The sequence below is a fragment of the Homo sapiens genome, chromosome 9 (assembly GCF_000001405.40).
Source record: "Homo sapiens chromosome 9, GRCh38.p14 Primary Assembly".
Taxonomy (NCBI): domain Eukaryota; kingdom Metazoa; phylum Chordata; class Mammalia; order Primates; family Hominidae; genus Homo; species Homo sapiens.
Window position 1 is genome coordinate 5,345,301 of NC_000009.12, and position 16,115 is coordinate 5,361,415.

At 37.4% G+C, this 16,115-nt stretch overlaps 1 protein-coding gene across 4 annotated transcripts in view; it reads right to left on the reverse strand.

The window, feature by feature from the left end:
• Window positions 1-12,670: 12,670 nt before the first annotated feature.
• Window positions 12,671-16,115, reverse strand: part of PLGRKT (plasminogen receptor with a C-terminal lysine) — an 80,407-nt gene continuing 76,962 nt past the window's right edge. For all 4 annotated transcript variants that reach the window (XM_005251510.6, NM_018465.4, XM_011517960.3 and 1 more), the window contains 2 exons: window positions 15,778-15,887; window positions 12,671-13,060 (listed from right to left, as the gene is read on the reverse strand). In XM_005251510.6, coding sequence (XP_005251567.1) covers window positions 12,939-13,060; window positions 15,778-15,887 — 232 coding nt within the window. In that variant the 3' untranslated portion in view covers window positions 12,671-12,938. The remainder of the gene's footprint in view (window positions 13,061-15,777; window positions 15,888-16,115) is intronic.

Sequence of the window (16,115 nt, forward strand, 5' to 3'; positions counted from 1 at the left end):
AGAATAGAACAGTGGTTACTGGAGACTGGGGACAGGAGAAGGACAGGAGTATGAGGAGAAGCTGGTCAATGAGCACAAAATTATAATTAGATAGAAGGAATAAGTTCTGGTATTCTGTTGCACAGTAAGGTGATGATGGTTAATAGTAAAATATAATATATTTCAAAAGACCTAGAAGAGAGACTTTTGAATGTCTTCACCATAAAGAAATGATAAATATATGAAGTGACAGTCATGCTATTTGATCATTATACATCATATATGTATCAAAATATCAAGTTTTACCCTATAAATATATATAATCACAATGTCAATTTTAAATATAATAAAAATCTCAACATCCTTTCTTGATAAAAATTCAACAGTTTAGGAGTAGAAGGAAATTCAACATAACAAAAGCCATTTATGAAAAACTCATAGTTAATGTCATGATTATTGGAGTGAAACTGAAAGCTTTTTTTTTAAGATCTGGTACAAAGCAAGGAGGTTCCCTCTCAACACTTCTATTCAACATTGTACTGTAAGTACTATCAAGAGCAATTAGAAAAGACAAAGAAATAAGAGAATCCCGATTGAAAAGGAATAAGTAAAATTATTTCTATTTGCAGATGACATGATCCTATGTGTAGAAAACCCCCAGTTCACCAAAAAACTGTTAGACTTAACAAATGAATTCAGTAAAGTTGTAAGATACAAAAACAACATGTGAAAGTCTGTGGCATTTCTATGCACAAATAACAGCCTAGCTGAAAAAGAAATCATGAAAACAATCCTATTTATGATAGTATTAAAAAATAAAATACTTAGAAAAAATTTAACTAAAAGGAGAAATACCTGTACACTGAAAACTGCAATAACATTGATAAGAGAAATTGAAGGAGTCACAAGTAAATAGAAAGGTATTCCATGCTCATGGACTGAAATAATTAATATTGTTTAAATGTCTATACTACCTAAAGCAATATATAGACTCAATGCAATCCCTACCAAAATCCCAATAGCCTTCTTATAGAAATAGACAAAAAGTTTTAAAATTTGCATGAAACCACAAAAGCTTCTAAATAGCCAAGCAATTCTGAGGGAAAAAAGTTGGAAGCATCACACATCCTGATTTAAAATTATATTACAAAGCTAAAATAATTGAAACAGTATGGTACTGGCATAAAAACAGACTAATAGACCAGTGGAACAGCATAAAGAGCCCAGAAATAAATCCAAACACATATGATAAACTAATTTTTGACAAGGGCCACAACAAGACACAATGAGAAAAGAATAGTTCCTTCAATAAATGGTGCTGGGAAAACTGGATCTCCACATGCTAAAGAATGAAATTGGATTCTTATCTTATACCATATACAAAAATCAGCTCAAGGTGGATAAAAGACCTAAACATAGACCTGAAACCATAAAACGCCTAAAAGGGGAAAACACAGGGGAAAAGCTCCTTGATATTGGCCTTGGCAATGATTTATTGGGCATCACACCAAAAGCTCAAGCTATTAAAGCAAAAATAAATAAATGGGACTATATCAGACTAAAAAGCTTCTGCACAGTATAGGAAACATTCAACAAAATGAAGAGGCAACCTACAGATTGTGAAAAAATATTTGCAAACCATATCCAAGGGATTAATATTCAAGGTTTATAAGGAACTCATACAACTCAGATAAGGAGTTAATATCCATGATTCATAAAGAACTCATACAACTCAATATAGCAATAAAACATATAACCTGATTGAAAAAATGGGCAGAGGACTTGAATAGTCATATTATAAAAGTTGACATAAAAATACCCAACATACGGCCGGGCGCGGTGGCTCACGCCTGTAATCCCAGCACTTTGGGAGGCCGAGGCGGGCGGATCACGAGGTCAGGAGATCGAGACCATCCTGGCTAACATGGTGAAACCCCGTCTCTACTAAAAATACAAAAAATTAGCCGGGCGCTGTGGCGGGCGCCTGTAGTCCCAGCTACTCGGGAGGCTGAGGCAGGAGAATGGCGTGAACCCGGGAGGCGGAGCTTGCAGTGAGCCGAGATTGCGCCACTACACTCCAGCCTGGGCGACAGAGCCAGACTCCGTCTCAAAAAAAAAAAAAAAAAAAAAAAATACCCAACATACATGAAAAGGTGCTCAGCATCACTAATCATCAAAGAAATGCAAATCAAAACCATTGTGAGAACTACCTCACACCTGTTAGGATAGCTATTACCAAAAAGATAAGAGATAAGTGTTGGCAAGGGTGTACAGAAAAGAGAACCTTGTACACTGTTGATAGAAATGTAGATTAGTGCAGCCATTATGGAAAACAGTATGGTGATTCCCAAGAAAATTAAAATAGAACTGCCATATGACCCAGCAACCCATCTTCTGGATATACATCCAAAGGAAATGAAATGACCACCTTGTTAAGATATCTGCCCTTCAATATTTATTGTAGTAGTTTTCATAATACCCAAAACATGGAAACCACCTAGGTGTCCACCGATGAGCAAGTGGATAAAGAAACTGTGTGTGTGTGTGTGTATGTGTGAAAGAGAGAGAGAGAGAATATTATTCACCCTTCAAAAAGGAGGAGCTCTTGCCATTTGCTACAACATGGACGGATCTGGGGAAACTTAACGCTAGGTAAAATGAGCCACACACAGAAAGAAAAATATTGCATGGTCTCATTTACATGTGAAATCTTTTAAAAAGAAGAAGAAGAAAGTCAGATACAAAGAAATAAAAACAAAACAGTGGCCACCAGCATTGGGGTGAGGGGAGGAAATAAGAAGATGCAGGTCAGAGAATACAAAGTGGCAAATATGTAGGGTGGACAAGCCAAAAGATCTAATGTACAGTGTGAGGACTATCACTAATAATAGTATATTGTATTCAGGATTTTTGCTAAATGAGTACATTATAGTTGCTCTTGCCATGAGGGAAAAATGGGTAACTATGCAAGGTCATGTATATATTGATTTTTTCCACTATAGTAACCATTTTACTATATACAGTTGGCCCTCCATATCCATAAGTTCCGTATCCATGGGTTCTGCATCCATGGGTTCAACCAACTGCAGATCAAGCATATAGTATTTGCTGGACGTGGGACCAGTAGAAATGGAGGGCTGATTTTTTTGCATTGATGATTCCACAGGACCTACAGTGAGACTTGAGCATCCATGAATTTTGGTATCCTCAGAGTCCTGGAGCCAAGCCCCAGTGGATACCAAGGGATGACAATACATGTATCTTATAACATGTTATATACCTTAAATGTACAAAGAAAATTTTATCTCTAAAAAATACACTCTTTTAGCAGTTTTGAAACATATAAGATATTATTATGTCTTTTAGTTAGGAAATTTAATCCATTTAAATTTGGGTGTAATTGGGTTACATAAAACATCTTATAACACTATTAAACTGATAAAAATTTAACTTCACATACAAAAACCACACTTTTACTCCATCTTCCATCTTCCATTTTTATTTTTTGATGTCACATATTACATCTTTTTATATTGGGTATCCTTTAACAAATTATTGAGCTATTCTTATTTTTAATAGGTCTGCCTTTTAACCTTTATACTAAAGATATAAGTGATTTACACATCACTTTTACAGTATCATAGTATTCCAAATTTGACTATGCACTTACTTTTACCAATGAGTATTATACTTTCATGTTTTCATGTTACTATTTAGCTCTCTTTCAGCTTGAAATTTTTCCTCTAATATTTCTTATAAGACAGGTCTTGGCTGGGTCTGGAGGTTCACACCTGTAATCCCAGCTACTTAGGAGGTTGAGGCACGAGAATTGCTGGAACCCTGTAGGTGGCGGCTTCAGTGAGCCAAGATCATGCCATTGCACTCTAGCCTGGGCAACAGAGGGAAACTCTGTTTCAAAAAAAAAAAAAAAAAAAAAAGGTCTGGTAGTGATGAACTTCCTCGGCTTCTGTTTGGCTGGGAAAGTCTTTAATTTTCTTCATTTCAGAAGGACAGCTTTGCCAGGTACATTGTTCTTGGTAGGCAGATTTTTCTTTAGTGCTTGGAAAATATCATCCCACCCTCTCCTGGCCTGAAAGAGCTCTTCTGAGAAATTCTCTGCTAGCCTTTGGGACTCTCTTATAAGTGCTTTATTCTTTCCTTTTGCTGCTTTCAGAATTCTCTCTTTGTCTTTGTTGCTTGATAGTTTGATTATAATTGTCTTGATGTCATTTTATTTGAATTGTATCTGATTAGAGACCTTTCACCTTGCTCCTGGGAATTTATATCTTTACTCAATTGGTAAGTTTTCAGCTTTTTTTTTTTTTTTTTTTTTGAGAGAGAGTCTCGCTCTTTCACCCGGGCTGGACTGCAGTGGCACTATCTCAGCTCACTGCAAGCTCCACCTGCCGGGTTCATGCCATTCTCCTGCCTCAGCCTCCCTAGTAGCTGGGACTCAGGAGCCTGCCACCACACCCGGCTAATTTTTTGTATTTTTAGTAGAGATGGGGTTTCAGGGTGTTAGCCAGGATGGTCTCGATCTCCTGAATTCGTGATCCGCCCGCCTCGGCCTCCCAAAGTGCTGAGATTACAGGTGTGAGCCACTGCACCCAGTCGTTTTCAGCTATTATTTTAAAAATAATCTTTCTGTCCCTTTGTCTCTCTTTCTTAAATTCCTATAATTTGAATATTTGCTTTTACGAGGCTGTCCCATAAATCCTGTATGCTTTCTCTATTCCTCTTCATTCTTTTTACTCCTCTGACTGTATATTTTCAAATACCTGTCTTCAAGTTCACAGATTCTTTCTTCTGATTAACCAACTCCCTGTTGATGCTTTCTATTGACTTTTTCATTTTTTATTGTATTTTTCAGGTCCAGATTTCTATGTGTGTTTTTAAATAATTTCAATTGCTCTATTAAAGTTCTCATTTTGTTTATTATTTTTCTGATTTCATTGAATTGTTTGTATTTTATTGAAGTTCACTGAGCTTTCCTAAAACAAATATTTTGATTTTTTTGTTAGAAAATTCATATATTCCCATTTATCTAGGGTCAGAAACTGAAAAACTATTGTGTTCTCTTGGTAGTGATATGTCTTTTTGTTTTTTCATGTTTCTTGTTGCATTGCATTGATGTCTACACATTTGTTGAAACAGTTATCTCTTTCAGACATTTGGGCTAGTTTCACTGTGAAAAGGCCTTCCTCAACAGGGAGGAGTAAAGGCTCTGGATGGTTGGAGTGTGGCTCCTTGGTAGTAGCCACATAGTTCCGTCAGCTAAGATCAGTGTTGTTGAAGATTACAGAATCCTCAGCAGCGAATGCTGTGAATGTCCACAGTAGCAGTGAGGGTTGTTAGGGTTTTCATGACAATGGCTTCTACAGTCCTCCCAATCTTTTTCCTCCTGCCAGGGAAGTTGTAGATTGGGGCAGGTCCCTCTTGGCACTGGGACCAGCTTTCAGGCCCTTTTGCAGTAATGGTGGCTCTGGTATCTGATGAGTGGCACCCATGGAGCAGCCACAGAGGTTAGTCCTAAGGCATAGGCACACATCCTGGCACTATAGCTCTGGGCTGTAGGCAGTAGTGGCACTGGTGCCCAGGGAGCAGGTACCCCCACTGCTGTATTGGTAATGGTATGTGTTGCACATATGCTTGTGAAACAGCTGGGGAGCTGAGAATGGCAGCACAGGTGTACATAGAGTTATAGTACTTGGGAGCTGGGGTAAGATCTAGCTCTCTATGGCAGTTGAGCCTGGGGCATAGGCATGCTCAGAGTGACCTTGGCACTCTAAAGCCCAGAATGTGAACTAGCTTGCTATAGCAATGGATCCAGTGTCTAAGATGTGTTCAGGGCGGTTAAGCCACAGAACACAGCTCTAGAGTGTGGGCGCTCATAAGGCAGCTGCTGCTTGGGAGTTGGGGCACACAGGGTTAAAAGAGGTGGCAGAGGGAAGTGCAGCTATGTCTTCCTCTCTGAGAGTGGTAAGAATGGCTGTTGGGTACCTTAGTATCAAAAGACGCTGGTGTCCTTTGCAGAGAATGCTGCTGGGGACCACAACAGTTAATTTGGCTAATACCAAAAGCATCTGTCTTCCTTCTTTGTTCCTGTCTTCTGGAATCTCAGGTATACAAATCTCACCAGTGATCCTTTCTAAGTGGATAGTTTCCATTTTATTTTGCTCTACTGTGCTGCTGCAGATTCTTTAATGGCCCTTGAGCTGTCTCAGGGCTATAGTGGTTTGTGGAAATAGCTGTCCATGTTTGTGTGTGCGTGTGCATGTGTGTGTGTATGTGTGTGTGTGTGTAGGGGAGGATTGAAGGCTTATATCTCCTACTCCACTATCTCGATGATATCAATCTCTCAACTTCTACCATGTTTTTAAACCTACTAAATATATTCTTCTGCATATTGTAATATTTCAATCAAGATTAAAGTTTTGATATCTATCTTTTTAAAATGCATGTAGTTTCAAAAGTCTAGCAAAATCAGGTTTGCTGATTGAACAATTTAGAAAGTACTTTGGCTTTTAAAAGCTCTTTATTATGAAAAACTGTTTATTATGAAAATTTCAAATATGTACAAAGTAAACAAAACAGTATAAAGAATCCTCATGTCCTACATTATACAACTGCAATGGCTATCATTATTTTTGTCATTCTTTTTTCACCTGTATCTCTCATTTATCACTATATACCTATATCTATCACTACATATATAACATACCTTGAAATGCCTACATATTAGCTTTACAATTTTGACAAATGAGTACACCAGAGTAAGCCACATCTTTATTATGATATAAAACAATTCTCTCTTCCCAGATAACTTCCCAGATAACTTCCTCATATCTCTTTCTGATCAACCCTCAACCCTTAGGGTAGGCACTATTCTGATACAATTAGATTTGTTTTGCTTTAAACTTCATATAAATGAAATCATAATGCATTCGCTTTTAATTTAAAGGAGAGTTTGCCAGAACTGGTCTTTCATCATGAAATCAGATTAAAAAGTGACAAGTGAGAATAAAAGTTGGACATTGAATAGTATTGAAGCAACTCAAGTGTGTAATGAGTGTGTTTAGAAAAAGCTAGTCTAATTAAAATCATCACTGATGTATACTTGAGAACAGTAGGTAAGAGTGTAAATATGTAATATGCAAAGCTCTGAATTTATAGTTAGATTTCTGGCAGCATATGATGTTTAATTTAACAAAATAATTCAGCAGGAACATTATAATAGAATTTTATGAAGTTCTTCTTTGCTCTTAGATAATATCCACACTGATGGGAGGGATAAGAAACATTAAGATAAAGAAACACAATTCAACCTGCTAAAGTGGGCTTTATGCTTAGAAATGCAACAAAGTCACAGCAGTGAAAAATACATCTACTTCTTGGTCAAAAGACATTGTACTTTTTATTTAATGTATTGCAACTTAGAACTGTTTCTAACAGGTTTCCATGATGCTGTGCAAATAAGCAGCTAGAGTCAGGTTAAAAGAGATCGAGCATTTCCTGTGAGAGGTCCTTAGAAGGAGAGATTAAGGTGGGACCAGAGATGAGCTTGAAGGCAAGTTGTGTTTCCTGTGGGTCTGGTTTCCTGTCCCACTCCACCACACCTTTCCTCCAGCTATGACCAATGAGCTACTTGAAATGTTTCCTTTTCCTAAAACACTCCTACTCTAATAGGAAATTGATAATCTGTTTGAGAGACCATGTCCAAGTCTGAAACTGAGCAGAACCCCTTTGCTTACCTAGATTTTTAGGATGCTTCAGAGGTGTCAGGCTTTGCAAAAATTCACCTGTGACCTGTCCTAAGCTGTCAGTTCAGAGAAGAAAACTGGCTGCAAGGTCAATCCAGTGCCCTGTGTCTTCCACAGCTACTGAATTTGAGAGAAGCAACTATTCATCAGCACAAACTTTATTCCAACCCCAAGTGTCTTTTTATTATCACTAGTTTGAAATAGATAGCATCAGTTGGTCTGCTTCCAAAATTCTTATTTCTTTGAAGATGAAAAGAAAAACATTCCAGAGACCAAGTTTTCTCTGAAGTATTTTAAGGAAGTATGAAACTGTTAAGTGCCTCAGAACCCATCTTGGGTTCTTAGCTTATCTTTCTTCAAAATCACCTTAGTGGATAAAGTTGGTGCTACCTTCAAGTCAAGTCAAATGTTTATCAGCAGTAAATTAATGGTGTGGGAATGGTGGGAAGAGAAGGAAAAAGTCACTCGTATTTCTCAAAGTCTGATCAAATTATTTTAACATTATCCTGACAGCCTTTCACAGGTCTCCCTTATCACACTTCAATATCTACCACTATCTCTAACCCATTGACTTTCACATACATTCAATGGCCATTTACTTCCTTACTATTTTTTGAAACCTTCACCAAGCTACAGTCCTAGATTTCTGATCCTTCCTACAACATGGACTCTGTTCTCCCAACACCAAATGGCATGCTTAAACTAACTCCAGGTCAGGGTCTACCTCCACCTCAAGTGCAGAGAAGAAAACACCCATGGAATGCTGCTGACCACAGATGGAGTCCTTCGAGAAAAAAAATAAACTAACTAAGGCTAACACTCCATCACTGAATCCTTGACACTTGTGGACCGAGAAATTTTGAGGCAGAAATGTTATCCAAACCTCAGACTTAGTGATGCCACTGAGTTCTTATCAGTGGGATACAGTTTCCAGTTGCTTTTATTCAGTGGTAATGATGAATTTGTGCTGCCCCAGCCACACTTCGGTCATTTGAGTAACCAGAGGAACAAGTTAACACAGCAAAATAAACTGGCCTGTGAGGGATCCCATTGGTGGCTTTGGTCTTTGGATTGGGTTGGTGGGTTCAGCTCCCCCAACCAAGCCAGGAGCTGAACCCTAACAGGCATTCTTGGGCTGTCTACTGTCGGAGGCAGTTGAGTCAGCTCCATCCCATTCTTCCTTGGCCCCCTTCTTATTTTCCAGACTTTTCTCACTTCGCCTCCTTCCATTCTGCCTGTGTCTCTTAGTACATCTGCAGCCCAGATACTGCTCCAGACAGACTCAGAGTTATCATTAGAAAAATCAGTGGAGATGCTAAACAGCCAGACAGTGATGATAAGCAGGGTACTTCCTGAAATCTCCTGTGGGCATCCACAAGGCCAAATCTAAGGGAGCATTTCCAATCCTCTCACAAAACAGACACACTCCAAGGTCAAGAGACACCACAATGCCTGACCAATGTGCTTTATTTAATTATATTTTCTCAGTAACAATTTATTCCTTTCCAAGAATGGTGGGGCAGAAAAAGTATCAAGGTTCTGGCTTGTGTTTCTAGAATATCACACTTGAACATTCATATATTAAAATTGTGGAAGTCTATAAAATATATTATCAATTTCAGATGGCTTATATTTAGGTTACATTGGTCATAGATTATTTTTGCAATCTGTGTCTATTCCTTCTCACTTCTCTTCTAACCAATGCCCTTCTAACCCCACCCTAGGACACTTCATATGGCTCTGAGACTGAATGTGTGTGATAATTTTTTTAATTATATTTGATTTTGACTTTGACACTATTTTTTCTTGATCAGGCAGCATGTTGTATTGAAAAGAATCCTGCCAGGGATACCAAATACAAAGGTTTTAGTGTAACTACCATTACTAGATATAAAACTTTAGGTCAATCACAAAGGGCCTCAATTTTTTCAAGTGTAAGGTGAGGGCTTAGACTAGACTATTTCTAAGTGTCTTCCCTTCTTTAAAATCCTTGATCATAACTTCACTATTTGTCATTAAAACAACTTCGGCTTATGGGAACTTTCTCACAGCCTTTCCAAAGTGCAATGAGTACCACACCATAAAGGAACCTTCAACATTACCCATAAACACAAATTCAGATTGGTTGAACACCATATAAACTTGATTTATTTGTAAATTTCAGACCCTGATATGTTATTTTTGTTTAACTGGGAGAACAATTCTCTCATGTAAATGTGAATAAGAAACATTCAAAACACTTAGGTAACGCAATGTTATAAACTGCATTTTTACTATTATACAGTGATTGTCAAGAACAGTCTTTCTGTTGCAGAGAATCTCTGGATCCATATTTATATCCCTTAACTATGACAGACTCCACATATACTTAGCAGTCTCTGCATTGCTTTGGCTGAGCCAAGAATGTCTTGGGAAGAACAGAACCACATGGAGTGTAGATAAGTTTTCCTCCAACTTTATTCCTAATAATTGACAAAGAGATTGAGTGAGGTTATCATTATTTTAATCTCTAAATCTTTGTTCATAATGAAACCTGTTTCTTATCCTTCTCCTAATATACTTTCTCATATTTATTTCCTCATTCTTCTTGCAATATCACAAAAGTTTGTGATGATTATAAGCTAGTTTCTTATAGAAGACCATATAAGTTTCAGTATTTGGAAACATCAGATGTCTAGTTGGTAATTAGGGATTAATCATAAGCATAAATAAATATTTAATTAATATAAATGAAGAAATAGCTCAGAAGCATCACAGCAGAAATGTTTTTCCTTTCAACAAAAGGACAATGTAATAATGAGAGGAAAAGCTTTGGATAATCAGCAGTTATAACACTGAAAAATGTTACAACATACTTGTGCTGCATGGTCATTTTTAATAGCTCCACTTTGATTTTTGCCTCACTATACAATTGGGAGCAAACAACAGTATGAGTGTAAGTGTGTGCGTATGTTTTTCAGCAGGGCCTCTACTGAGGTAGAATTATTAATAAACTCAGTGTCAGTGCCAGAGGAAGAAGCCAAGAAGCCAATACAATTGAACAGCCTGGTGTTCTTAAGGGGGCCCAGGGCCTGGCTATGTTGCCAGCAATGAAAATCCCAGATAAGGTCTTGAGCCGATCAGCCTTTGCAGAGGCATCAAACCTACTCTTGGTGAGCTCTGGCTAGACTATATCAGGAACATTTGAATAGCATGATTGAATTGTGGGGAAAGAAATACAATTCCAGATTCTGGTGTGACCTACAACCAGCACTAGGTCTTGGGCATTCATGAGTCCACCAGTGTTCCTCCCAGTACTTCTTCTTTCCCATGTTCTCTAGGGGCCTTAGATAATCCACACAGATTAAAAATGCAGGGAAAACAACTCCCACTCTGTGACCTCAAACTGGTTTCCTGGTACTGCTATTCTCTATTTTCATAATCTTGAGTCCATTCCCAAGGCTGTAGCCTTAATTCAGGCCACTGGTCAGCACTCAGATGGATCATTGCAGCTCCTCATTACTTGGGATCTGGGATCTTTCCCCTCTAATCTACAAATTTGGGTAAAAATCCCGTTTTGCATTCTTTCACTGCTATCACCCTCAGGAAAGAGTCCAAACTGCTTGCTGTTACATCCAAGGCTCTTCAGGAATTGAATTGTACTTCCACCAGGATCATTTCTGAAAAAGTCTCCCACATGAGGAACCCCTTGCTGCAGCCAAATTGAATGACCTGCAGCAATTCCTTGGATTTGGCTTGCACGGTCCTGCCTTTGTTCAAGCTGCTTCTCCTGCTTGGGGCACCCTTCCTCTTCAATGTTTACCTTCATGGAGAACTTCTATGCATCCTTCAAGACTTGGCTCAAGTTTCTCTAAAGCTAAAATTGTAACAAAACACATGTTGATACGTTGTCAGCTCCTTGAAGGTAGGGACCACATCATATTCATGCTTGTTCCTACCTTAATATTTAATCTCCTATTATTCTTCCTGGGCTTCTTTCTATTATTTGGCCATGCCATGTCTCAGTTCAAATGTCACCTCTGCAAAGAGGCAGTGTCTGCAGTACCGATCTAAAGTAGCACCACCTCATTAACCCAATCATTCTCTTATCACTCTGTTTCATTTCCACTGAAGCATTTGCCAGGATTAGAAATGATCTTATTTATCTTGATGTTAATTTGTTGCCCGCCCCAATTATCCCACCCCTCACTAGAATATATTCCTCTGCCCAGGATATAGGACATTGTCTACTTATTCACCGATGTAGCTCTAGTGTCTACAACAGTGCCTGGCACAAAGTAGTATCAATAAATCTCTTTGGAATGAGCATATTATATGTAGGGTTCGCATCTGAAGAAATACTTATATATAGGAGTATTTTATGAGGAGTTTTCCCAGTGAGTCTAAATAAAAAGGCAGTCATCCAAATCTACCTCTCTCTTGTTTCCACCTCTCTAGCAACTATGCCCTGAGTCATTATTTGAATGTTGTTACCTTTTCCCTTTTATAGCTTTTCTTTGCAGGTTAAGCATCAGTTAAGGCCTTGTCAAGGCCTTTTAGAGCACAGCCACTGGAGCCACACTTGTTCAAATCCAAGCCCTGGCCAAGTATGGCTTTGGCCCAGCCAAATTGGATGACCTGCAGCAACTTCTTGGATTTGGCTTGCGTGCTTCTGCCTTTGTTCAAGCTGCTTATCTGTGCTTCAGTTTCCACATTTATAAAATGATTCCTGCTTCATAAAATTATTGGGATGATTACAAGAATTTGTACAAAACACTCAGAACAGTGCCAGTCATAGAAAATGCAGTATATATGTTAGTCAAACAATACTGTTTTCTGTCATGTAGGGGCAGGACACAATTGACAAATCCAAAATACAGAAGCATCTGTGGAAATGGAATGTGGTATGGAAAGTATGTGTGACAGAGAAATGAGAGCAGCTGGGCATTTGCTTCCAGGAATTCAAAACAATTTATTAATTTTACACTTAGATATTGGTAATGCACACAGAGAGAGGAAATCTAAAAGTTATTTAGAGCACCTCCATGATTTTGTGTTGAATGTTATAAATTTTATTTTAAAATAGCTCAAAACTATCTTGCATTTTAATATTTTAAAATAAAATCTATAATATCAAAATCTTGAGCATTTAAAAAACTGTAAAAACCATGATTCAAGTCAATAATTCTGTGCTTTGAGATTTGATTGGTAAGCATGATTTCATTTGTCTATGAAGAATCTACTCTGTTCCTTTCTGGCTTTTTCAATGCTTTCAAAAGTGATCATTCCTCTTGGCAGCTGCAATTTACTCTTTTCTGTTTCCAGTATGTCCTCAGCTTCACCTTAAATAAAGTACAGAAATACACAAGGTGACAAAGGGGTCATCAGCAATTTGTGACAAAGCCTGATTGCTATATTCCTTGACAGGCTCTAACACCGTATGAGCCATGTCCCCAATCTCACACTTAAACATTTTCCTCAGGAGAAGTAATATACTTCCCAGAGGAAACACAGTGATGAATTCTGAACACCCATAAATAAATCAGGAGCTACAGATGGTATTTTTGACATGTAGAAGAGAAAGAACATCAAGATAAGTAATTTTTTCCCTTGAACCAAAGTCAGGATTCGTATTAATTCTGTTTGGAGGGATTTGGGTAGAGAAACCACACATAGTCTTTCCCATTGTCCTTTAATATAAGTGACAAGAGAGAAAGTAAAGTTTACTACAAATTCTAATTTTTCAGAAAAGCTAATCTTCAACCTGACATTACTTGTAAACACTTAAAATAATATTAAATGTTCTTCAGTCTGTATACATACAAATATACATATATACACATCTTTATAAACAATTCCTCTTTCAAAGAGCTACACAACGCAGTAATTTCTTGGGCCCAGTGACATTTGCCAGGTTTTATTGTCGAAGACTACTTAGCACATTGTAAAAAATTGTATTACAGTACATGTTTACATTTTATAAGCCTCCCTTGGGATTAAAAGGTAACACTTTCTGTGAGTACTCCTCTTTTAACACACTATTTTATTTTTTTTTTTTTTTTGAGACAGTGTCTAGCTCTGTCGCCTAGGCTGGAGTGCAGTGGTGCAATCTCAGCTCACTGCAGCCTCTGTCTCCTGGGTTCAAGTGATTCTTGTACCTCAGCCTCCTGAGTAGCTGGGACTACAGGTGGTGTACACCGGCTAATTTTTTGTATTTTTCATAGAGACAGGATTTCATCATGTTGGACAGGCTGGTCTCAAACTCAAGTGATCTGCCTGCTTTGGCCTCCCAAAGTGCTGGGATTACAGGTGTGAGCCACTGCACCTGGCCTTCCTTTAACACACTATTAATTGTACTCCAAACCCAACAGAACAGACCATAGTTTTCAAATTATAAGAGCATTTCAATCATCTGCAAATGTCTTATTTTTTTTACCTCTGTCTCAAATAGCAAGTAAAATTCATTATAAAATTATATGTAATTAGGTTGGCCATTGATGACAGACTAGATGTTTTCCACGTGAGAGAGCCTTTCTTCCAGTTGGTAAATTCTCATCATGTGTTAAAAGAATGGCTGATGATAAACTCAGTCGAATAGGGATTGTATATTTTAGGGTCATCACTATTAACATGGAAAAAAACTATAATCTACATTTTCTAATGTGATAAGTTTTCTGATGAATTTGACTTTTTTTTAAACAGGAAATTCCCACAAAAATTTCCTATTAAATTTCTGTGCCAGCTGGGTCAAATTCCAGGGCAATAAAAATCAGGATTCTGTGACAGCAGCAGTATGCTGGTGAATATTTACCAACCAGTTCTCTGAAAATAAAATGTATATAAATGTATAATATATATGTTTATTACACGTGTTATACATGTTCACTATACATAAAAATATGTATCATAATAAAATGTACATAAAATTCCACATACTAAATTGATTCTCACAGAATGCTTTCATTGATTTTTATGGAATGCTTGAATCTGTAGCCAGCCTATGTTGCAGCTGATGAGAGAGTATAATGGATGATGGTTGGTGTTTTCATTTACACTAATGAGTAGGACAAAAGTGAAACAATTGTTTCCTTCAAGACAAATGTTGGAACTTCATTTATTTGAGAATGATGTAAACAACTTATTTGCTGAACTGGATAATAGTTTTTCAATATTAGAAGAATATTTCACCAACTTTTATGCTACTTACAATGTAATAGTTACAGACAAAGCACACTTTTAAGCTTAATCTGCATTATTAGCATTTTCTTCATCAAGTTTTAAAATCTAGACCATAGGTTGGCAAACTGTCTTAAAGGGCCAGACAGTAAATATTATAGGCTTGTGGACTCATGTTTCTGTTTCAAGGATGGCTCTGTCATGGTAATGGGAAGGCAGCCACAGACAATACATAAATGAATGAGCATGGATGTGTCCCAATAAAACTTTATTTTGGAAAACAGGTGGCCAGCCTCAGGCCATCATTTTTCAACCCCTGGTCCAGACAATCAACAAAATAAGAAGTCAAGCCTTGATTTGGCAACAACAGATTTCCATTGTGTAAATATTCCCACCAAGACCAACTTCAGGCTACCAATGGGATGTCACTGAAACTGGACTGTAGCTGTATTTTGTTTTGTCTGTGTATTATATCTGCATTTCTATCACATAGATACAATAGCTATAAATAACCAGAGTATGGATAATAGTAAATATTTAGAAACAGATGAGTTCTGTTTATTACCTTTGTTTTAAACACAATTTAATATTATTTATTTGCTGTAATTTATTTATTGCAAGTTTATAAAAGTTTTAATACATTAAGTGACTATGTTTAACAACCAGCTTACACAATCCCTGAAAATGTAGCGATTGGTTCTTGTGAGCTGGTATGAGCTGGCTCTAGGACACCACTGTGTGAAAGGGAGCAGAAATGTTGCTCATTGGAGGTTCAAAGAGAGAGTCTTGTCAGAATCTTTATAAGTCAAAGGTTCCTAAGGCAGGGATCCTTGAAATGGAAAATAAATCAGCAAATAGAAACTCTAGTTTACCAAAGACTTACCTTTCATTCTTTCTAAAAGGGTTCCATAGCCCAAGTCATACTGGTAGGTGAGGATAAAGCTTAATGGAACAATCGGGACCAGGAAGGCTGGCTTCTTTTTTTTAATCGCTCTGTTTCAAGAATTAAAAGAAGAACCAATATCAAAAAATAACCTGTAAATACATATCTGTATACTTAAAGAAAAAAAAATACCTGCTTTTTGGAAGAATGCCTTTTCCTTCAGAAGTTACTTAACACATTTGATAATTCTATGGAAATAGGATTTCCTTACCCAATACCCCTAACCAGATTCTGCAGTTCTCAAGGGCAAGGTCTGTGACTTGCTCATCTTTATTTGA